This window comes from Homo sapiens, chromosome 20, assembly GCF_000001405.40.
Source record: "Homo sapiens chromosome 20, GRCh38.p14 Primary Assembly".
Lineage (NCBI taxonomy): Eukaryota > Metazoa > Chordata > Mammalia > Primates > Hominidae > Homo > Homo sapiens.
In genome coordinates, this window is record NC_000020.11 from 37570354 (window position 1) to 37595007 (window position 24654).

Genomic DNA, 24654 nt, shown 5'->3' on the forward strand with positions numbered 1-24654 from the left:
CAGTTCTATCCATGTTGTTGCAAATGACAGGATTTTATTCTTTCTTTATGGCAGAATAATATTCCTTTGCATATATGTACTGGCAAGGGGCATTTTGACTACACCAGACTGGGATATTTGCTCACCCATTAACTCTAGAACCAAATCCCTGAATAAGATGTGACTTCCCTAATTGGGATGCTCCAATTCTAACAGCCAGGAGTCTTAAGGGTTCAGGATTCCAGAATCTAAAGTTTCTATAACTTGAAGATTCCGAAAGTCAATATTTCTAAGACTCTATAAGTCAAGAAATCTTTAAGAGGTAGTTCAAGATAAGACTTTCTATGGGGAATGTATGTTAGGGGTGGAAGTGCTAAGGAATAAATGTGAAACTTTTTTGCTTTTTTTCAATGTGTGAACCACCTACCCATAGAAAATAAATCTATAAAAAGATCATCTGCAAAAGCAAAGTGATTTCACTTAACTTAGAAAAATACAAAATATTTTCTCTGTTAAAAGGACTGAAGCTCAGGTGGGAGTTTGATAAAGGGATGGAGTCTGCTGCATGCTAGTAAACCACCTCTCCAAAGAATGCTGGGGTCTGTAGCATTTGCCAGTTTTCATGGTGTAAATACTTCCACTGCAATCGATTTCAAGTTGCCAGCAGTTTAACAATTGGTTCTCAAAGTTCCCGAAAATCTAACAATCGCCCTTTTATGACCTAGCAAAAGCTGGCTGGCCAGGCTTCTGCAATAGAACCTGGAAGAGTCAGAGGGGTTGTGGCTTTGAGGACAATTGTTCAAGTGAGAAGAGGGCTGTGCAGATCTCAAGATGACATCGGGATCCTGATGTGAAGTTTTCCTGCTTCTGGAGGAGGGAAGCAGAGGGCTGTTTTGCCTCCTCTGGGCCAGGGATGCATGGAATGGCAGAGGTGGGGGCTCCCAGCTATGGTGACTGGGAGGGCAGGTAAGTGATGGGACTGATTAGGAAGAGCCGCAACTGTCCCTTCACCCGGCCCATCCTTCAGTGGAGGTGGACATTCGCCTATTTCCTCACACTTTTTTTTTTTTTTTTTTTGACAGAATCTCGCTCTGTCACCCAGGCTGGAGTGCAGTGGTGTGATCACGACTCACTGCAACCTCCACCTCCCGGGTTCACACAATTCTCCAGCCTCAGCCTCCCGAGTCACTGGGATTACAGGTGTGTGCCACTGCACCTGGCTAATTTTTGTATTTCTTTAATAGAGACGGGTTTCACCATGTTGGCCAGGCTGGTCTGGAATTCCTGACCTCAGGTGATCCATCTGCCTTGGCCTCCCAAAGTGCTGGGATTACAGGCTTGAGCCATCACACCCGGCCCCCTCACGCAGTGATTCCATGAAAATTTATGCAGAGCAGAGATCATGATGCTCATTTTGCTGATGAGAAAATTAAGACCCAGACAGGAAAAGGTATTTGTTTCCAGTCACATAGTTGCCAGGAAATAAAATGATAGTAGCTCAAATAGATTGAGCATTTACTCTGAGCCAGATCTATGCTAAATAGCTTGACTTGTTGCTTAGGTCGGGGTCCCTGGAAGCAGATCCTGAGACAAAGTCCCCTGTGCAAGAGATTTATTTCAAAGGTGTGCCCAGGTAAGGGGGAGAGGGGCTGCAGAACAGGGAAGGGGAGGAAGCCAGGCAAGGGTGTGAGTTCAGACCATGTCCTAGCCTCAGCCTAATGGGGTGTGGGTCTGGAGCACCCCAGAATTTGTCCCAGCTGGAAGCAAAAGATCCGGGCTTTCATACTCCTCTGTTAGTCATTGGCTGGGGGCCATTCTTGGGACACGTTGACTCCCAGGCCCCCAGGTCAAGCCTCCGAATAAGGATTTCTTTCTTTTCTTTTTCTTTCTTTCTTTCTTTCTTTCTTTCTTTCTTTCTTTCTTTCTTTCTTTCTTTCTTTCTTTCTTCTTTCTTTCTTTCTTTCTTTTTCTCTCTCTTTCTTTCTCTCTTTCTTCTCTCTCTCTCCTTCTTTCCTGTCTCTCTCTCTCTCCCTTCCTTCCTTCCCCTTTCTTTCTTTCTTTCTTTCTTTCTTTCTTTCTTTCTTTCTCTCTCTCTCTCTCTCTCTTTTTCTTTCTTTTTTTTTTTTGACACAGTTTCACTCTGTCACCCAGGTTGGAGTGCAGTGGTGCAATCTCAGCTCACTGCAACCTCTGCCTCCCAGGTTCAAGTGATTCTCCTGCCTCAGCCTCCCGAGTAGCTGGGATTACAGGTGCACGCCACCACACCCTGCTAATTTTTGTATTACTAATAGAGATGGGGTTTCACTATATTGGCCAGGCTGGTCTCGAACTCCTGACCTCAAGTGATCCACCCGTCTCGGCCTCCCAAAGTGCTGAGATTACAGGCGTGAGCCAACGTGCCCGGCCTGAATAAGGATTTCTTATTAGCATCCAAACACATCGGAGCTGGGCATCAACAGTGTCCACTCGCTTGTATTAACTCAATTATTCCTCCCAGCAATGCTAAGTGGTATTATTATCACCCCCACTTTGTAGATGGGGAAAATGAGGCACAGAGAGATGGAGCCACCTGCCCAGCATCACACAGCTAGTGACTGTCAGAGCTGGGCGGAGCCTCGGCCAAACCGAGGCCTGTACACAGTTCCCATTGTTCTCTTCTCGGAGGAAGGGACGTTGGTGACTGGAGGAGCAAGAGAAGATGGCCAGAGGCAGGGGAAGCTGTCAGGACCAGGGACAGCAACTCTCAGAAGAAAGGGGAAAGAGAGGCGAGGCTTTAAGAGACCTGTTTGGGCTGGGTGCAGTGGCTCACGCCTGTAATCTCAGCATTTTGGGAGACTGAGTCAGGCGGATCACTTGAGGTCAGGAGTTCGAGACCAGCCTGGCTAACATGGTGAAACCCCGTCTCTACTAAAAATACAAAAATTAGCTGAGTGTGGTGGTAGGCACCTGTAATTACAGTTACTTGGGAGGCTGAGGCAGAAGAATCGCTTGAACCCAAGAGGCAGAGGTTGCAGTGAGCTCAGATCGCACCACTGCACTCTAGCCTGAGTGACAAAGTGAGACTCCGTCTCCGAAAAAGAGAGACCTGTTTGGACAGAGGAAGGTAAATGAGACAGAGAAGGAGTAGGGAGGTGGGGGTATGGAGAAGAGGCTCACACAGCGCTCTCTTCCCCTCCCCCAAACATCCTAGCCCAGCCCTCTGAGCCTTAGTCTTTTTCTCTGTAAAATGGGGTGAATAGAGGTACCTGTTCCCTCATAGTGCTGTTGAGAGAATTAAATAAGAAAGTGCTTGTCAAGTGCATGTTCTGGGTGGCCCACTGTGAGGACTGACAGCCACAGCTCTTCCCTCTGCCTGGCCAAGAGGCACCAGCTGGGGTGCTAGATGTGAGCTGAGCCTCTGGCCTAGGGGACGAGGGGCTGCTGTAGGGCTGAGTGTATGCTGGGGGAGAGGGCTGGGGTGAGCTGAGGTGGGGCAGTGGATTTGCCCCCGAGAGCCTGAGGGGAGCCATCAGTGTGCTTTCAGCCGGGAATGTCGTGACTGCAGTGTGGGGTGTGTGCTGGGTTCAGAGGGGCAGCAGAGAGATGACAGGGTGGGGAGATGGTTGAGGTTGGGCGATGCTAACGTCCAGGCAGGTGGTGCGGCTGGGCTGGCACAGTGGGTGACACACATGGCTTGTGGGTGTGTAGCATAGTGTGCCCTGTGCATGGGCCTGCATGGGCACGTGTGTGTGGTCTATCTGAGTGTGTGTCATGAGTGTCTGTAGGGGCATCTGTGTGTCTGTGTAATGGTGCATGTGTGTCTGGGAGTGAAGTTGAGGGCATGCATTGTACTAGTATGCCTACCATACTTGAGCGTGTTTGCAAATGTGTGTGGGTGTGTGTCTGGCCCAAACCTGGCAGGCTGCGGTGGCAGAGGGGCTGAAGGCCTGGCAGTGGCCTGATGGGCAGCTTTGGAACTCCTTCCACCCCTCTCTCACAGGAGCTGACTCCCAGACCGAGGAGGCCTGCTGGCACTGAGTCCGTCCTGTATCTAGAAGGACTGCCATGGCCCTGGCAGTGGGGGAGGGCTCTTAGGACCTGGGGCAGGCTGGGGAGTCAGGACTGAGAAGGGAGTGGGGTGGGTGAAGGCTGGGTGCAGACCTAGGAGAGGGCCACCTCCCTGGACCTCTGTTTCTGTGTCTGTGAAGTGGGCCTTGAAGAGTGGCCCCAAAAGATACAGCTGGGCAGATCCACCAATGTCTGCTGGCTTGAACCCCACCTTACACAGAGGCCCAAACTGGGCAATAACTTGATGAGTGTTGCCCAGCAAATCAGTGGCTACTTGGAGGGCAGACTCCGGCTTCCCGTGGCCATCTGAGTCAGGGCCCTGGCAGGGATCCTGGAACACCAGCACTGGGCCTCCCTTCTCCAGGCAGCACCCAGCACAATATTCCAGCCTGGGGGACAGGACTGATAGATGCTGTCCCCTCATGTTCTGGCAGATGCCCAGGCATGACTTCAAAGCTGGAAACAACATGGGAATCCCACCATCAGAGCTCACAGCCTCTCCATTCTGCAGGATTTCAAGGCCAAGGAATAGCTTTTCTGCCTGTCATTCCGCCATTAAGGAGTCAGTCATTTGGCTATGTAAATCTTTCAAATGTTTCTTTTTTAAAATGTAGGTAATTTCAGAAAGTATTTTACTTTCCACCTTGGTTGTCAATTAAGATTGGGACCGGGGAGTTGAGTTGGACTCTTTATGGGGCCAGGTTACTGGGGGAGAGGTCCTGAAGTCAAACAAGGACCTTGTACTTGCAGTGATGAGCCCTGCTTTGAGAGAAATGCCAGCACCACCAGCCAATAAGATGGAGAGAGGGAGGAGGGTGGAGTATGTAAACTGAGGCACAAAAGCTGGGGCCAAAGCAAACACTTTATAATTGTTATTATTATTATTATTTGAGATGAAGTTTAGCTCTTGTTGCCCAGGCTGGGTGCAGTGGCACAATCTTGGCTCAGTGCAATCTCCCCCTCCCGGGTTCAAGTGATTCTCCTGCCTCAGCCTCCCAAAAAGCTGGGATTACAAGTGTCTGCCACCACACCAGCTAATTTTTTGTATATTTAGTAGAAATGGGGCTTTATCATGTTGACCAGGCTGGTCTTGAACTCCTGACCTCAGGTGATCCACCCATCTTGGCCTCCCAAAGTGCTGGGATTACAGGCATGAGCCACCACGCCTGGCTGCAAACACCTTATTAACAGATACCTTAGTTGAAGTTAAACACCCTAGTTAATAGCCAGCATCTTCATTAACTGTTAACACCCTAGTTAACTGCAAACACCCTACTTAACAAAAAGCTTACTTGTTGAACACTGTAGTATATAGTTAACAGTGAACACTCTAGTTAACAGCAAACATTGTTTTTAACAGTTAACACCCTGGTAAACTGTGGACATGCTACTTAACACACACTTTTGTTGACAGTGAACATGTTAGTCCACAGTGAACACATCCTAGTTAACAGGTAACACCTTCATTAACAGTTAGCACCCTACCCAACAACAAGCCCTTTAGCTGACAGTGGGTCTTTGGCAGAAAATTAGGTTGAGGCACTCACTGAGGGTTTTGGGAGAGGGAGGAAGCTCAGCCTCTGGCTCTGTCCTTAGGCCTGGCCCACCAGCCCCACAGCGCTACCTCCATGCAGTAGTGCCCTCTGGCTTACAGGGGGAAACAGGAAACCACAGCTGGGATGTGAATTCTCAGCCTGAGTGCCCTGTGCTTCCCTGGAGGGGAACTCAAGTTCCTCTTTTGTGTCAGAGATGAAAGTCTGAGCTACAGTAGGTGGGGAGCTTGGAGTGATTTGTGTGTCTCTCTTTCCTCTCACCCTCCCTTCCTCCTTGCTCTTGGTCTCACTGTTAGCCCCCAGCTGGCTGTGTCTGGGGCTCCCTTTTCTCCTCTACCTTGCACTCCAGCTGACCATCTCGTTTCTGGATCCTTCTCTTTGCTCATCATCTTTCCTCAAACTCTCTCTCTCTCTTTCTTTTTTTTTCTTTTGAGACAGAGCCTCATTCTGTCACCCAGACTGGAGTGCAGTGGCACAATCTCAGCTCACTGCAGCCTCTGCCTCCTGGGTTCAAGTGATTCTCATGCCTCAGCCTCCTGAGTAGCTGGGACTACACGTGTGCACCACCACGCCCGGCTAATTTTTGTATTTTTAGTAGAGATGGGGTTTCGCCATGTTGGTCAGGCTGGTCTCAAACTCCTGGCCTCAGGTGATCCACCTGCCTCGGCCTCCCAGAGTGTTGGGTGTGAGCCACTGCACTGGGTCCTCAAACTCTTCCTCTGACTTTGTCAGTTTCTTCCCCCTACTCTCGTCTTTCCCACTCCTTGTCTCTGTCTCTCCCTCCCTCCTTCTCTTATCATCCTCCAGATCTCTGCCCAAGCACCACCTTTTCCAAGAAGCCCTCCCTGACCCTCCAGGCCTAACTTATGTCCCCGTGTCCTCCTGGAAACCATGCTCCTTGCCTTCAGAGCCCCCACTTCTACTTGCAGTGAGTAATTACAAACCAGAGTCTGTCTCCCCACCAGCATGTGAGTTCCTTGTTTGCCTTGCTCACTGCCATATCCTCAGTGCCTGGCATACAGTGAGTGCTTAATAGATGTTCCTGGTGTAATTGCCTTTCTCTCTGCCCCTTCTAGTCTCTCTGCTTTGTCCTAGCTGCCCGGATGACCTAGCCAGAGGCTTCTCCACTTGTCTCTCATCCTGCTCTTCACTTCCCTGTCTCCACAGCTCTTGGTGGCCCAGGGTGGGCCTTGGCCTTCAGCCTGCTGACCCAGGACCCTCACTCCTTCCATAGTGGGGACCAGTGCCTGTCTGAGCCCCATCATGATCCCACTGGGAGGTACTTGTTATAACTGGTTAGAGGAATGAATGATACAAAGAGAAAGGATTTGCCATTTCAATCCCAGCCATCTCTGCTTGACATACCTTGTGACCCTGCGCAAGTCACCTCATCTTTTGAGTTTCTCTTTCTCCATCTGTGAAACTGACTGGAGATCAGCAAAGACATTCCATGGGAACCTGCTTTGTAACCCATGAAGTGCCTTGTTGGTACCTGTGACTACCAGATGTTAGTATAACGTTTTCCTTCCCTCTCTGGGCACTAAGACACATGAAGTTCAATTTGCAGCCCCCAGGAGCCCAGGCTGGGGTGCTTGGGGTGCTGGGGCTCTTCAATGATGGCAACTAGGGGAAGGACAAAGTTGGTGTTTAAAACCAAATTCATTAATGTGTGTATCATTGAGCAGGGATCCTCAACCCCCAGGCCACATAGCAGGAGGTGAGCGGGGGACAAGCAAGCAAAGCTTCATCTGTATTTACAGCTGCTCCCCATTGCTCACATTACTGCCTGAGCTCCACCTCCTGTCAGATCAGTGGTGGCATTAGATTCTCACAGGAGGGCGAACCCTATTGTGAACTGTGCATGCGAGGGATCTAGGTTGCACACTCCTTATGAGAATCTAACGCCTGATGATCTGTCACTGTCTCCCATCACCCCCAGATGGGACCATCTAGTTGTAGGAAAACAAGCTCAGGGCTCTTACTGATTCTACATTATGGTGAGTTGTATAATTATTTCATTCTATATTACAATGTGATAGAAATAGAGTGCACGATAAATGTAATGTGCTTTAATCATCCGGGAATCATCCTGAAACCTTCCTTCCCCCAACCCCACACCGGTCCTTGGAAAAATTGTCTTCCATGAAAGCTGTCCCTTGTGCCACAAAGATTGGGGACCACTGTTACTGAGCACCTACTATGTGCCAGGCACTGTTTAGGGCTCTAGGGCTATATCAGCAAACAAATTAGAACTCTGCTCCTAGTTCCTAACGCAGTCATTGCACCATCCATGACTTCAACAGATATGCATTGAGCACCTACTGTGTGCTGGGCACAGCGGAGGCCTTGGGATGGAGAAGTGAATGAGACCTGCCCTCACAAGTGCATATTTGGTGCTCCATCTCTGTTCAGTGCTTAGTGCCTTTCCACGCTCCAATATTTTACCTTTGGCCTGCCCAACTAAAGTGATGAGAGCAATTGCAGATTAGGTGACTTGCTGAAGGTCACGTGTGCTGGAAATTGGAAGAGCTGAATCAAAACTCAGATCTGTTTGAGTCTAGGGCCCTAACTCTTTGGGTATCTTGGGTTGTATCTATCCTCTGTTTACAAGTCTCTCTCTCTCTCTTTTTTTTTTTTGAGATGGAGTCTCGCTCTGTTGCCCAGGCTGGAGTGTAGTGGCACCATCTCGGCTCACTGCAACTTCCGCCTTCCAGGTGATTCCAAGTGATTCTCCTGCCTCAGCTTCCCAAGTCGCTGAGATTACAGGCATGTGCCACCAAGCCTAAGTTTTGTATTTTTCGTGGAGACGGGGTTTCACCATGTTGGCCAGGCTGGTCTCAAACTTCTGACCTCAGGTGATCCATCTGGCTTGGCCTCCCAAAGTGCTAGGATTACAGGCATGAGCCATCGCACCTGGCCCCAAGTCTCATTTTCCCTGTCTGTACCCTGAGTAACCTTGGAGACCATCCAGCGACGTGGATCAGTGAGAGGAGTGTTGGGGCCAGTGAAGCCGGGGAAGGGGTGCCCAAACTAACATCCCTTCTCCACCAGCAGCCAGGCCAGCTCAGCCTCTGTGCAACTTTCCCTGCTTCTGAGTCTGGAGGTGGTTCTTATTATTGGCTCCAAATGACTTTTGCATCCATTTATTTGCTGCATTTTGATTTTGCATTCAATCTCTGGTCCATTCATGGTGTCTGCGCTACCTAGGGGATGCAAAATTGAGGCAGCCAGGAGTGCAGTTTGGACACGCCTGACAGCCACCACTCCTTGGAGGGAGGAACGCTTGACTGACTCCACAGTGGAAAGGCTGATGAGCAGGAGGCTGCCCCGCCACTGCCCCCTACTCCAGCCAGAATCTGCCAGATGGGCTTCCCACCCCGAAGCTGGCTTCTCCACTCCCCCGGCTCCAACACACATATCTCAGCTGGAGAGATGGCCACTGGGAACCCAGCCAGTACCTGGGGCCTGTAAGCAGGGCAGGCACTAGACTTCATAAAGGATTTGAAATCCTTCAGGGCTATGCAGGAGCATTTGGGCAGAGAGAGCAGAATATGAGTCCCAACTTGGTCCCGCCAACCTCTCTTCTTCATTCACCTTTAGTGGTGTTGTTTTGTTTCATTTTGTTTTGAGGTGGAGTCTCACTCTCTTACCCAGGCTGGAGTGCAGTGGTGTGATCTTGGCTCACTGCAACCTCCACCTTCTGGGTTCAAGTGATTCTTCTGCCTCAGCCTTCCGAGTAGCTGGGACTACAGGCATGCACCACCACACCTGGCTAATTTTTGTATTTTTAGTAGAGACAGGGTTTGGCCATGTTGGCCAGGCTGATCTCGAACTCCTGACTTCAGGTGATCCACACACCTTGGCCTCCCAAAGTGCTGGGATTACAGGTGTGAGCCACTGAGCCCAACCTAGTGGGGTCTTTCTAATAGACGATTTGACCTGGCCCCTCTCCTGCTCAAGACCCTTCCATTGCTCCCCACTCCCCTCAGGCTTGGGTACAAATTTCTGGCCTTCCAAGCCCTATCCACACCAGCCCCCTCTCTCAGTTCTTCCTAAGCTCCAGCATCTCCCAGTGGCTCCTATTTCCCCATGTTCACACCTTGGCAGAGGCTGTTCCCTTTGCCCAAACCATTTGCCACATTGTCCTTTAGGCAAACTCCTAGACACTCTCTGCAAATTGTGAGGACACCAGCTAGCCCTCTGCACCAGGTATTGCACTTCACACTTTATATGCCTTATTCACTTGGCACTCACAGCCCCTCTAAGAGAAATTCCCATTTGCAGATCTCCTGAAGTCAGCAGAGGCTCAGAGAAGTCAAGCAACTTGCCCTGGGTCACACAGTAGGATGGCAGGGCAGGCAGTGCAACTCCAGAGTCTATGCTCCTAACCTCAGAGCCTCAGAACCAGCTCAGAGCCCACCTCCTCAGAGCTCTCCCAGCCACACAAACGCCAGCCTCCTCCATCCCACCTCACTCCTGCTCTCAGCAGAGAGACCTCCCTCCTCATCTGGGGCTCCCATGGACCCAGGACGTTTTTGGTGATTACATTTCCACACTGCCTTTATTCCCTCATGTCTGGCTCTGTCATGAGATGCTGAGGCTGGTCAAGGACTGTGGCTGTGGGTTCCCAGTTCCCAGCATAAGGCTAGGCAAAAAGGGTAAATGTAACTAAGATTGGTCTCATCAGGAGCCCCGCAGAGATGACAGAAGGAGCAAATGAAGTAAGAGCTGTAAACAGGCTGGGTGCAGGGGCTCATGCCTGTAATCCCATCACTTTGGAAGGTCGAAGTGGGAGGATCACTGAGCCCAGGAGACCAGCTTGGGCAACATAGTGAGACCCACTCCCTCAACAAAAAATAAAAACTTAACCGGGTGTGGTGGCATGTTCCTATAGTCCCAGCTACTTGGGAGGCTGGGGTGGGAGGGTCGCTTGAGCCCAGGAGGTCGAGGCTGTGGTGAGCTGAGATCGTGCCACTGCTCTCAGCCTGGGCGAGACCCTGTCTCAAACAAGCAACAAACAAAAAACCAAGCTGTAAACAGACCTTGTGTGGCTTTTGTGTCCAGGAGGTGGGGAGGTGTTATTATATGCAGAGGTGACAGGCTGCACAGCAATGATCTGCAGTGTCTACACCATCTTTCCTCCACAAAGTCAAGATGGGGCATCATCTCCTAAAGGGTCTCTGAAAGCACACCACCATTAGCTGGTTCAGTATCACTCCATTTCCCCCTGCCCCCTAACCCCCAGCCTTGGGGAGACTGGGGGAGAAGGAGGGTGCTTCTGGGGAGGAGGGGTCTCTGATTGAAGTCATATATCACAGTGGCAGCTGAGGCAGAGAGATGGGAGCGATTTTTCTTCATGGTTTGCAGACAAATGTGGTGGACAGAAAATTGATGGCAACCTTTGGCAGCGAGAGACCTGGGGCCTAGGGAGTGGCCATGCCTGCCCGGGCAATGGGGATCACAGGCAACCACTCCCCGCGGACCCCCGGCTCCCACCTGAATCTATTGTCCTGGGCAGAGGCAAGGGGGCAGCCCAGACTTGGGGAAGACGCATTGAGGGGGCGTGGGAGGAGGGTATGTGTGAGGTGGCCTGGGTTAGTGCTGACTGTGTGACCAGGGCAAAGTCAGGCCCTCTGTAGGCCTCAGTTTCCCCGCTGGTACAGTGAGTTGTCAAGGCCAGCAGAATCTTGGGGAGGGATGTAGGTGGGCTTTTTCCCATATCTCTTATCTTTAGCTGTCTCGTAGGGTCTGGGAGAGTCAGGAAAATGGACGTAACTCTGGCAGAAGTCTCAGGAGCCCCAAAGCTACACATTTCCTGCTTCCAAATTATCCTTGAACCTAGAGGTTTGGGGAGCTTAGAATCTTAGAACCTGGAAAGCTTGTTTTCCTAGAAACCCAGATTCCTCAGCTCTGAATGCATTCAGTGTAACTCTCCACCCACACCCCAGGTGTGCAAGAAATGTAGCTTCCTTTGTTTTTAAATAATGCATCGAACTTGCATTTCAAGCTCCGTTCTGCCAGGATGGAAGAAACCCAGGCGGACCGGGCTTCCCTCTTTCATGGGGCTGGATGATACTTGGGGGACTGCCACAGGTCATGGGAGAGGAGAGGTGACTCCTCAGTTGTCTGCCTATCAAGACATGATGCCCCTTCTGACCCTCAGTGGCTGGTCACCATGGCATGCAACTGTCCACAAGGCTGCTCTGGTCTTTTGAGTCTTTCTGATGCTCCCACACCATGCTGGGCACAGGGGTCTCTGCTGGGCCATATCAGACCTGTGGACCCAGACTGGGGCTCAGCCTGGAGTAGGGCACAGGCCACCGTTGCTCTCAAGTCTTCTAGATGTGGCTGTGGATTCTGACATCACCCTCAGGCCTGGAGATGGGGTAGGACTCCTTTCTCAGAGGCCTGCAGGTTCAAGGGCTCCGGGTTTCCCTTCGACTCCTTTCCTGAAACCCAGCTGAGGGGACTGCACTGGGGATCCTAGGGGTGACTGGGAGCTGGGTCACATCTGTTAGAGAAAAAATTATTCCCACCTGGTCAACGTGGCAAAACCCTGTCTCTACTAAAAATTAGCTGGGTGTGGTGGCACATGCCTGTAATCCCAGCTACTTGGGAGGCTGAGGCTGGAGAATCACTTGAACCTGGCAGGCAGAGGTTGCAGTGAGCCGAGATTGTGCCACTGCATTGCAGCCTGGGAGACAGAGCTATCTAAACAAACAAACAAAAAACAAAACAAAACAACAAGAAAAACAGAAACATTTATTCAACGACACTTGTTGAAGAGTGGTAAGGTGGACTTTTTATTCAGGACCATGGCAACAGGGACCATTGCAACGGGAATTTGCGGTGGGGGAGAAAGAACGGGCTCAACTCCAAATACAGCATGGGCAAGTGGGATTTATGGCTAAGGAGCAGTGCAGGGGTCCAAGGATGGAAAATGACTGAGAGGAAGCATCAGGGGTGAGGGAGAATCTGACTCAACTGATCTAACAGGATTCTTGCTGAAGACAGGCCAGGGGGATCAGGCATAATCTGGGCCGTGGTGGAGGGTGAACAGCCTGATTAGATATGAAGGATGATCAGATATTGAGGATAGGGGGTTCTTGCTAAACTGACTTAGGGTTCTTGCTAAAACTGGATTTTGTAAGAAAGTATGCAGATGGGCTTAGCAGAGTTTCGGGAGCCTGACTAAAGTTTGGTCAAGTGAAGAATCTCTGCTACTCTCTAGAGTTACTCTCAAAAAAATAAAAATAAAAATAAATAAAAATAAACATGATGGGTAGAGAGGCTACACACCCTGTTCCCTGAGAGCATTTGCTTTTTTTTTTTTTTTTTTTTTGAGATGGAGTCTTGCTCTGTCACGCAGGCTGGAGTGCAGTGGTGCAATCTTGGCTCACCGCAACCTCTGCCTCCTGGGTTCAAGCAATTCTGTCATCTCAGCCTCCCGAATAGCTGGGATTACAGGTGCGTGCCACCACATCTGGCTAATTTTTTTTTTTTTTGTATTTTTAGTAGAGATGGAGTTTCACCATGTTGACCAGGCTGGTCTTGAATTCCTGACCTCAAGCGATCTGCCTGCCTTGGCCTCCCAAAGTGCTGAGATTACAGGCGTGAGCCACCACTCCCGGCCAAGCATTTTCTTTTCAGGGGTTGGGAGGAGAAAGAGAAAGGAATTGGGTTGGTGAGTGGTATATACAGGGGTATTCAATTGTATCTGTAACATTTTATTTATATATTTTTATTAGTTATAAATTATATATAAATATACATATACATGTGTTTCTGTATGTAAGTTGTTTATAAGTTTTTAAAAGAGAAGCATGGCCTCTGTATCCTTCCGAAGCTGACTTCTCTCCCTTCCTATTACTTTGCTACGATTCACATTTGTTGTTGCTTGTGGCTGTTGTTCATTCATTTTGACTGCTGGATAGCATTCCATTGTGTAAGGATATCGGAGGATGCAAGTCCCCAAGACCTCCCCGACACTGCTGGTGGAGTGCAAATTGATGCAACCACATTGGAAAACAATTTGGCAGTATCTCATGGAGGTGAATATTCAGCAATTCCACTCCCAGGTAAATACCCAAGAGAAACTCTTGCACACACACAGCAGCAGACATGACAAGAATGCTTATAACAGTTCTGTCCACAATAACAAAAACCTGGAAACAACCCAAATGCTCATCAACCCGAGAAGGAATAAATACGCTTGTTTGCTGACAAAATACATTTTAAAAAATAAATAAAAGGTAAGAACTGAAGCAAGTCAGGCATAATTCTAATATAAGTTAAAACTGGATCATGGGCACATTGGTCTTTATTAATTTATTCTTTGAATGTCTGAAGTAATTCATAACAAAAAGAAATCATGTTTTGAAAAATCTTGAATTGTAGCATCTTGGACTTAGAAGGCCTGTGATCTTTGGTGTCAGAAGGGGTTAGGGATTAGCTAGTCATGTCTGTGACATCCGGGAGCTTACCCAGCGAGCTTCCAGCCTTTGCCTGTGTACTCTCTGCAGTGGAGTGACCCAGAGTGCATGATAAGATTAACTCCAGGGGTGGGGTAGGTCAAGATACAAACATTACTCTCATCTGCAGATATTGTTCATAAGGAAGGGAAATGACCTAGAATGACACAGAAAGGGCTGATAACAAATCAGGGTGACCAAGGATGACACCTCCCCCCCGCCAACTCCACGAGGGGCTGACAAAACTGTGCCCTATCCTAGAGATAGGCTTCCGGAATGACCAGGATGGGTCAGCATAGCTAGAAAAGGGGGTCCCAGAGCAGAATGTGGTGCATGGGTCTGCCTGATAGAGGGAAGCTGGTGGGCCCAGGCCATCAGGCCAGAAAACTGCATCTTCCTCATCCCCTCCCCTCCAGAATCTTGTCCTATTCACCAAGTCCCCTTATGTTTTATAATTCAGTCCCCCAGCCCTTCTGGGACGTCTGTACTACATTTCTCTTTAACTTGAACAGCATGCTGCCGGATGCATGCATGCCCGAACACATGGACCCTGTATTTACATATGCACATGCCTAGACCGGTGTGCACATGGGGTCCTGAGGAGTTAGTAGCTGTGGACATGCGTGTAGCTCCCCCTGGACCAAGTCCATGCCACACCATCACTGCTGCCAGATGACTCCCCAGCCTCTTCTTGGCTTCTCTGCCTTCCATCTCATCCCCTCCAAGCTCCCCATTGCAACCAGGGGTTGGGGAGACTCCTGAAATCCAGAGCTGACCCTGCCACTCCACAGCATGGATGAATGAATGTGTGTTACAGGCACATTTCTATGCTTATGCATGTGGGCTCCTGGATCCTGTGTGTGCACATGGAGATGTGTATGTACCCTATTTCATTTTTAGATTTATTTTATTTTTTGATTTGGTAATACCTGGACATGATAAAAGCTTCACACAATTAAAAAAGATACATAAGAAAAATCCATGTCCCAGTGGCTTTTTGAATGGTGGAGGAAGGACTTCCAAAAATCTGCTCCTTCATAAAAGCAATGAAAATACTGGAGAAACTCTCCAATATAGTTTTTTGAAACACTGGAAATTAAAAGCTTACATTAATCTGAGGAGTGTTGATTTTAAAATAGCTGAATCTTGGTAAGACCATGAGCTTTATGATGTTTTGTTTTCATTTTTCTAAGACAGGGTGTTGCTCTGTCACCCAGGCTAGAGTGCAGTGGCATGATCATGGCACGGCAGCCATAACCTCTTGGGCTCAAGCAATCCTCCCACCTCCCAGTCTCCTGAGTAGCTGGCACCACAGGCATCCACCTCCATGATGTTTTAACCTGCCTTAATCCCATTTCTCTCTCCCTATCTCTGTGATATTTTTGAAAACAGTGGTATTTAGTTTTCTACCTGTTTCTTGGGATATAGCTCCTAAAACTTTTGGAATCTCCAGAGTAATTAGTGTCTTTTGTATGCTAATGACATGACTGATGAGGTAGGTGGGGGGCCCTAGACAGCTTCAGGATGGGATCTGGTCACTGGACCAGTCTGAGAAACAGAAGTGAACTCTAGAGCCTCAGAGACCTGTAGGATACCACCAAGTGTACCAACATGTGCAAAATGGAAGTCTCAGAAAGATGGGAGAGAGAGATGAGGAAGAAAGAATATTTGAAGAAATAATGACCAAAACCTCCACAAGTTTAGTCAACAAACATTAATCTGCACATCCAAGAAGTGCGACAAACTCCAAGAAGGATATACTTAAAGGGGTCTGTATCTAGGCACTTCATTGTCAAACTGTTGAAAGCCCAAAGCAGAGAGAATCTTGAAAGTCTCAAGATAAAAGTGATTTACCAGGTGCAAGCAGTCCTCAAGAAGATTAACAGCTGACTTTATATGAGAAACCACGAAGACCAGAAAGCAGTGGGATGAATATTTGAAGTGCTGAAAGAAAGACTACTAAGTAAGAATTCTTTATCCAGCAAATTATTCTTCAAAATGGGGAATTAAGACATTCCTAGATTTAAAATATTGGAGAATCTATTACTAGAAGGCTTGCCTTACAAGAAATACTAAAGGGAGTCCTTTAGGTTGAAATGAAAGAACAGTAACTGGAATCTGCATGAAGAAACAACAGTTATAGAAGTAAAGTATAGAAATAAGGAGGAACGATAACTACATAGGTAGATATATGGCTACATAAATGTAATTTTGTTTATAACTTTTTTCTTCAATCTTATTTAAAAGATAACTGCACAAAGCAATAATTATAAAGCTATGTTGATGGGCTTATAATGTAATGTATAGAGATGTAATTTGTATGACAACAATAGCATAAAAGAGGAGGGAGGAAATGAAAGTATATTGGAGCAATGTTTTAGTATACTATGGAAATTATATTGGTATTGAACCAAATTAGATTATTTTAAGTTAATATATTGATTGTAATCTACATGGAAGCCACTAAGAAAATAACTCAAAAAATAAAAGAAACAAAACAAGATAATAAAAATGGTATACTAGTAGCCAGGCATGGTGGCTCACACCTGTAATCCCAGTACTCTGGGAGGCTGAAGTGGGTGGATCACTTGAGGTCAGGCATTCAAGACCAGCCTGGCCAACATGGTGAAACCCCGTCTCTACTAAAAATACAAAAATTAGCCAGACATGGTGGCGGGCACCTGTAATCCCAGCTACTCAGGAGACTGAGGCATGAGAATCACTTGAACCCAGGAGGTGGAGGTTGCAGTGAGCCAAGGTTGTGCCATTGCACTCTAGCCTGGGCAACAGACCAACATTCTGTCTCAAAAAAAAAAAAAAAAAAAAGGTATACTAGAAATTATCTGTTTAACACTAAAGAAGGTAGTATTGGAGGTATAGAGGAACAAAAAAATGTAAGACATACACATGGCAAAGTAAAATGGCAGACACGAATTCTACCTTATCAGTTAAGAAAAAAAGGAAAAATACATAACACGAAAACCATAACCAAAAGAGTTCTGGAGAGGCTATGCTAACATTAGACACAGTAATCTTTAAGATAAAGATTAATACTAGAGACAAAAAAGGATGTTTTATAATGATAAAATGGTCAATCCATCAGGTATACATAACAGCTATAAACACATATGCATCTAACAATAAAGCTCCAAAATACATGAAGCAAAAACTGACAGAATTGAAGGCAGAAATAGACAATTCAACAATAATAGATGGAAACTTTAATATTCTACTTTTAATAATGAATACGATACCTATGCAGAAGATCAACAAGGAAATGAAAGACCTGAACAATATTAAAAACTAACTTGACCTAACAGACACCTATGGAATATTCCTCTCAACAGCAGCATTTTTCTTAAGTATGCATAGATCATTCTCTAAAATAGATAATATGTTAGGTCACAGAACTAGTCTCATATGTTCAAAAGGATTTAAATCACACAAAATATGTTTTCTGACCACATAAAATGAAATTAATTATAAAAACATAATGAAAGAACTTTGGGAAAGCACTTTCCAAAAAAATGTGGAAATATAAACAACACACTACTAACTAGCCAATTAGTCAAAAAAGAAATAACAAGGAAAACTAGAAAATATTTTGAGATGAATGAAAATGAAGACACAACATACCACAACTTATGGGATGTTGCTTAGGCAGTGCTTAGAGGAAAGTTTACAGCTACAATCACCTATATTAAAATAAATAAAGATCTCGAATCAGTCACCTAAACTTCCTCCATAAAGAAATTAGAAAAAGAGGGGCAAACTAAATCCACAGTAAGCAGAGACAATTACATAATAAAAATTAAAGAGGAAATAAGTGAATGTACCACTTTATACCTAGTAGGATGGGTATAATAATGAAAAAAGGACAATAACAGGTGTTACTTGGCAAGGATTTGGAGAAATTGAAACCCTCATACATTAATGATGGGAATATAAAATGGAAACATTTTGTCAGTTTCTCAAAAAGTTGGACATAGAGTTACTATAGGACCCAGCAATTTTACTTTTAGGTATACATCCAGTCAAATGAACCTATTTTCAAACAAAAACTTACTAATGTATGTTTATAGCTACATTATTTATAATAGCCAAAAGGTGTAAGCAACCCAAACATCCATTAGCTGATGAATGTGTAAACAAAATGTGGTATATCCATACAACAGGGTATTATTCAGTCATGAAAAGAAAGGTGCTACAACGTAGATGACCCTTGAAAACATTATGCTAAGTGAAAGAAGACACAAAAGGCCACACATTGTATGATTCCATTTATATGAGAGATCTAAAATAAGGAACTCCATGGAGACAGGAAGTAGATTGGTGGTTGCCTAGGGCTGGGAGCAGGGAGAAATGAGGTCTAACTGCTAATGGGTATGGGGTTTCTTTTTGAGGTGTTGGAAATGTTCTGGAATTAAATAGTGATTGTACAACTTTGTGAATATACTAAAGACACTGAATGCGCACTTTAAAAGGATATATTTTATGGCATATGAATTATATCTCAATAAAACTGTCATAAAAGTCAATGTTCTGCCATGCTATTTTCTTCTTGTGTATCTTTCCAGAGATACTCTAGGCATGTGGCAGCATATATATGTATATAGTAAATATTTCTGTTTTTTTTTTGTTTGTTTTTGTTTTGTTGAGATGGAGTCTCGCTCTCTCGCCCAGGCTGGAGTGCAGTGGTGTGATCTCAGCTCACTGCAATCTCCTCCTCTTGGATTCAAGTGATTCTCCCACCTCAGCCTCCAGAGTAGTTGGGATTACAGGCATGTGCCGCAACAACCCAGCTAATTTTGTATTTTTAGTAGAGATGGGGTTTCACCATGTTGGCCAGGCTGGTCTCGAACTCCTGACCTTAAGTAGTCTGCCTGCCTTGGCCTCCCAAAGTGCTGGGATTACAGGTGTGAGCCACCGCGCCCAGCCTATAATAAATATTTCACTAAGTCTGAGATTCTATTAATGAAAACAGTATTTTATGTACTAAAAAGGAAGAAAAAATTAATTTTAATTGTAAGGCATATCTCAATTTCAGGGATGTTAACATGTTTAACATGTGGCTCTTGGAATCAGTGCAAATATTGATCACGTGTTTTGGAGAGCTCATGAATCAGGATATATCCTGGATGTGGTGGATACTTTCAGTGAACCTCATAGGTCCCTTTCAGACAGCTCCTGCACACAGTAATGGTTTTCTGCGTCTTTATCTAAGGGTGCTTCCTGGGTGCGCTTAGCCCAGAAATGCAGAATTAGTGCCCAGGAGCAACCTTCAGTCAGCAAGGAACAGGAGATGTAGAGAAAGCCAGCCATGGTGGCTCACGCCTGTAATCCCAGCACTTTGGGAAGCCGAGGCGGGCAGATCACTTGAGGTCAGGAGTTTGAGACCAGCCTGGCCAACATGGCGAAACCGTGTCACTGCTAAAATACAAAAAAGAAAAAAGAAAAAGAAAACAAAGAAAAAAAATTAGCCGACTGTGGTGGCACATGCCTGTAATCCCAGCTACTTGGGAGACTGAGGCAGGAGAATCGCTTGAACCCGGGAGGTAGAGGTTGCAGTGAGCCAAGATCTTGACACTGCACTCTGGCCTGGGCGACAGAGCAAGACTCCATCTCAAAACAACAACAACAACAAGAAACCAACCAGGAATTTGAAAGAAGCACCAACAACTTCCTTGCCCTTCAGAGACAATTCTGAAGTGCGTCTCACATGGTCTTTCAGAGGATGTCTAGCAGGACGGAGCCCCAGAGACCCCAGGTGTTAACTCACTCAGAATACACATTTGTCTCCTGTCATCCTTGCTGAGATTCCTAGGATCCCACATAAACTATTTGCACCCAAATCCCAGTCTTAGACTTTTCCTTTGAGAGAACCCACATTTAAATACTGTGTGTATGGCTGTGAATGGGGTGTGCACATCTGTGTTCATGAATATATGGGAATCAAAGTATGAATACATGTGTATACCCATGTTTATGTGTGTCTATGGAAGCATTTCTGTTTGGAAATTGGCATGAATGTGTATGTACACATGTGCATGTTTGTGCATGAATTTTTTTTTTTTTTTTTTTGAGACAGGGTCTTGCTCTGTCACCTAGGCTGGAGTGCCATGGTATGAACACAGCTCACTGCAGGCTCAAACTCCCGGGCTCAAATGATCCTCCTGCCTCAGCCTCCTGAATAGCTGGGAACGCAGGTGCCTGTCACCCCATCCAGCTAAATTTTTTTGATTTTTTTGTAGAGATGGGGTTTCACCATGTTGCACAGGCTGGTCTAGAACTTCTGGGCCCAAGTGATCCTCCCGCCTTGGCCTCTCAAAGTGCTGGGATTACAGGCATGTGCCACCACACCCAGCCTTTGTGCGTACTTACACTCCAGTGCAGATGCATCTATGGAATGCTTGTGTGTGCCAGTGTCCATGCACATGTATATATTTGTCATATTGCAATAGATGGGCTCTCAGACCTGTTTAAGGGTGTGTTTGTGTGCCTGCATGAGCCAGACAGGTCGAGGAAGCCCGAGAAAGACCCTCAGAGGGTCTCTGGTGCTTAGGAGCCTCTTGTTGGGTGGTGCCACTGGGGAGATGGGTGGGGAATGCATTATAATAGTGGCCTGTTGCATGCCCTCTCTTTCTCTGCAGATGCCTGTCTGGAGACAACCTCATCAAGTCTGGTCTCAGATGTGTGTTCTCTCTGATGGGAGACAGCTGGAGCGGCTGTCAGGCCTCCCTGGCAATAGCGGTGCCTGCGGCAGCACCTGTCAGCAGCACCTTAACGCTGTCCCAGTGATGGCTGCTGCGAGTGGGAAGGTGACAGGAGGCAGTTGTTCTTGGGGTCTGGGAGGCTCTTTGCTGCACTGCTCCTTGACCCCTCTACATGGAAGGGTGAGCCCCAGTTCCTGTACATCTTCTGGAATTGCAGACCTCCTCCCCACGTCACCTCCAGTGGATTTCCTCGCTGGTCTTGACTCTGGCTGATGCCACCCACACGCCTCCACTCCAGCTGTTTTCCTAAGACAGCGTGTGATGCCATGCCGCCCTGTGTTTCCTGGTCCCTCTGCCTCAAAGACTTTGGTTTCCCACCTCTGTCTGGTGAATTTCCCTTTTCCAAGGCCAGCTTCCAATTCCCTTTTTCAGACATCCTGTCATGCTGTGCCCAGGCAGAGCCTTCCTCCCCAAACCCACACAGCCCTTTGCACGTTTCTCTTCCATTACACATATTGGTTGCCAGGAAGGAGAATTCAGGTGAATGCCTGCCTCTGGCTCCCTATCACAATGTTTGAGTCTCAAGGAGGGCGACCAGGTGGAGTTAGGTGACCTCAACCCAAGGGGACAAGTGTCAGAGTTGGGCAGGGTAAGGTCTGGATCCCAGGAAGATAATTCTGTTGTTCTTAAAATAAGACCCCAGCTGGTGATGAGGAGAGAGACCTGGAGGACATAGAGAAGCGCCCAGAACCCTCCTTCATTCCAAGAGGAGCGGCTGCTGACCACAGGGCAGAGGGCCAAGGTTCTAGGAAAGGGGCACAGAGGTCAGGACCGGACTGCAGTCCAGCAAGAACTGGAGCTCATGCTTCAGCCTTCTGATTGAGCTCACCAGTCTTAAAGGAGACTGGAGCTCCCTGGACCTAGGTTCAAATACCCACTCCTCCGCTTATTTGCTGTGTGACTGTGGGCAAGTCACTTCACCTATCTGAGCCTTGGTTGCCATCAGTGCAACATGAGGTAAAACTGCTCAATTTAAGGAGATAATGTTGGGGAGGGCCTAACCCAGATATGGGCACACAGCAGGCACTGGTCTCCACCTTGGGGAAAAAAAGTCACAGCTGCAGCCACTGGGGCCGCCCGAGACAAGCTTAGGGAAACATTGCCAACTCCGGTTCCTTATTGCTGGGGGTGAAGGCTCTTGGCAGCCCCAGGCTGCACGTGACCCTTGAATCCTTTATGTTCGGTGTGACTTTTATCAAGTCATTTCACCTCTCCACACCTCAGTTTCCTGCCCCATAAACTGGAGACACTAATAAAACCCACCTTATGGGGTTGTTTGTAAGAAAGGATTGCTATTAATTGCCATAGGGAATGAATTAATTGCTTGTTAATTGCTATGAATGTTAAAAATCCATTGTTATACGAGTTAATTGCTTGAAAGTGCCCACCACAGTGCCTGGCACATAGTGAGCATTCAGCGCTCAGCAGCAGCTACTGTCATTGAGACAACGTTTGAACACCTGCTCTGTGCCGAACTTCATGCCAGGCACCCAAAACATCGAGACAGAGGCACAACTTGATCCGTGGATACTCTAAGCCCAGTTGTGGGTGGCCGAGGGGAAGGATGGAAGCACCCAAATGCCTCATGGAGAGTACAAAACATCACAAGACAGAGTCAGAAAAGGAGGTGCAGGAGGGCTTCCTGGAAGAGAAGACTTTTGAATGCTGCTTTAATAGCTGGGAATGTAACAACAATGTAACTAATATTTACTGAGAATTTACTCTGTGCCAGGTACTATAGGTGTTTCACCTATATGGTCTTATTTAAAGATTCTAACAGCAATAGGTAATAGGGACTATTGCACCCATTTCATGGAAGAAGAAAGTGAGACTTAAAGAGATTAAGACACCTGCCCAAGATCACCCAAGCCTGAGTTTGAATTTTCAGATACCTGAGCTCTGAAGCTCCGCATTCTTCGGCACTCCAGGAAGAGGGATGTAAAATTGCAGAATTAGGGGAGGGTGGGTACAAGTGTTAACTGTGCACCAGGGTATACCAGATCCTGGCTGGGACATTTTGCTTGCTTGATCACATACAATCCTTACTACAAGCCATATGAGGTAGACAATATTATCACCTCCATCTTGCAGATGAGGAAACAGGCTCAAAGCAGTTGAGCATTTTGTACAAGGTTAAACAATTGGCAGTGGGATCTGACTCTAGGCGCTCCAATTCCCAAGCCCATGTTATTTCTGATACTGTAGGTGTGTTCTGGAAACAGAAAGGAACTGTCCAGTGTGGCTAAAGGTTAGGGTCCTTGCAGAGAACAAAGTATGGAGCAGTTGGGACTGAATTTCAAAGGGCTAGATGTCCATTCATACAGTAGACAATGGGGAGCCACTGAAGATTGTGGAGTAGGGGCATGGTGGGGCCAGAGCTGCAACTTCCAAAGATGAATCATGTCACAGCACCTAAGATGGATGGGATGGGGATGAGAGAGGCAGCAGGAGCCCCATCAGGAGACAGCACCAGGTGATGGTGACTTTAGATGACAAGGGATATGGACAAACTGGCATTTTGCTGGGGAAGGAAAACCAAGAGCTCAGGGATGAGAAACAGCCAGGGGCAGGGCCATTAGCCTTATCAAAAACCTGATTGCTCTTAACAAAGTATTTAATACAATTTCCTGCTATTAGGGCCAAACCTGGACTAGCAAGATTATTAATTCTAAAGATAATCATTAAGCTGGGCGGACCGTATTTTAATATATGGCAACAGGCGAGCTATTGTCATTTTTTCCCTTCTATCTTGATTGCAGGTCACCCAATTAGAGCTGGCTTCAAGTGCCCCTTCCTGGAGGTAGTGAGATAAGGCTTAATGTCCTCAAACAAGAACTATCGGCTGTGACTAGAGGCCTATAAATATTAATAAATCTATAATTAGTCCTGTGAAAAGGGGGATCAATCCAGGAGAAGTTTCCACCCATTAATACTGGAAATCACTTTTGCTGGGAAAGCGGGCTTTTCTGTTCCAAATGCCAGGCTGTTTGAGGAGGATGCAGCTCTGTCAGGTTTGCCAGACTGATTCACTTCTACTCGGCCATAGTCGTAGTATCGTGGGGGCAGTGAGAATCCCTGCAGGGTCTCACAGGGAGAAAGGCTTCCCAGAGGTGGTGACGGGAGAAGGTTGTGGCCCCCATGATCTTGTCTACAATTATTTTAATTTTTTACTTAAGTTTTTTTTTCTTTTTTTTTGAGATGGAGTCTCGCTCTGTTGCCCAGGCTAGAGTGCAGTGGCGTGATCTCAGCTCACTGCAGCCCTCCACCTCCCGGGTTCAAGTGATTCTCCTGCCTCAGCCTCCCTAGTAGCTGGGATTATAGGTGCTCACCATCCCACCCAGCTAACTTTTGTATTTTTAGTAGAGATGGGGTTTCACCAGGTTGGCCAGGCTGGTCTTGAACTCCTGACCTCAGGTGATCCACCTGCCTCGGCCTCCCAAAGTGCTGGGATTACAGGTGTCAGCCACTGCACCTGGTCGTAAGTTGCTTTGTTTACTTATTTAAAAAAATTTATGTATTCATTTATTTTCAGACAGGTGTCTTGCTGTATTGCTTAGGCTGGTTTTGAACTCCCGGGCGAAGACAGTCTTCCTGCCTCAGCCTCTGTAGTAGCTGGAATTACAGGCATATACCATCAGGCTTGGCAACATAAGTTGTTTTATTGTTATTGTATACCAGAATCCTAATAAAGAAAAAATTTCTTATTCTTCATGTGAAATTTGAGTGGGATAGTGGGCTAAGTGAGGGAGCTTTGTAGAGCTATAAGGTATCCAGAGATATGAATACATGTTATTCTATTCCAAAATTTTTATTGAGGTATAGTACATACTC

General features: G+C 46.9%; 1 long non-coding RNA gene across 1 annotated transcript, besides 2 other annotated features; it reads left to right on the plus strand.

Annotated features, from left to right (window-relative positions):
- The first annotated feature begins 746 nt into the window (after window positions 1–746).
- On the plus strand, window positions 747–22101 carry LINC01746 (long intergenic non-protein coding RNA 1746). Its single transcript, NR_184035.1, has 4 exons — window positions 747–945; window positions 1541–1612; window positions 13514–13657; window positions 20701–22101. It is a non-coding gene; the product is annotated as a long intergenic non-protein coding RNA 1746 (long non-coding RNA).
- Window positions 5895–5944: an enhancer, noted in NCBI's record as "active region_17848". NCBI's record gives its function as "activates an Ori minimal core promoter by ATAC-STARR-seq in GM12878 lymphoblastoid cells {active_cell/tissue: GM12878}" and the evidence as "EXISTENCE:reporter gene assay evidence [ECO:0000049][PMID:35858748]".
- Window positions 20886–21385: an enhancer, noted in NCBI's record as "H3K4me1 hESC enhancer chr20:36219641-36220140 (GRCh37/hg19 assembly coordinates)". NCBI's record gives its function as "activates a minimal SCP1, AML or CMV promoter by ChIP-STARR-seq in naive H9 embryonic stem cells {active_cell/tissue: H9 hESC(naive)}" and the evidence as "EXISTENCE:reporter gene assay evidence [ECO:0000049][PMID:30033119]".
- Window positions 22102–24654: the final 2553 nt, after the last annotated feature.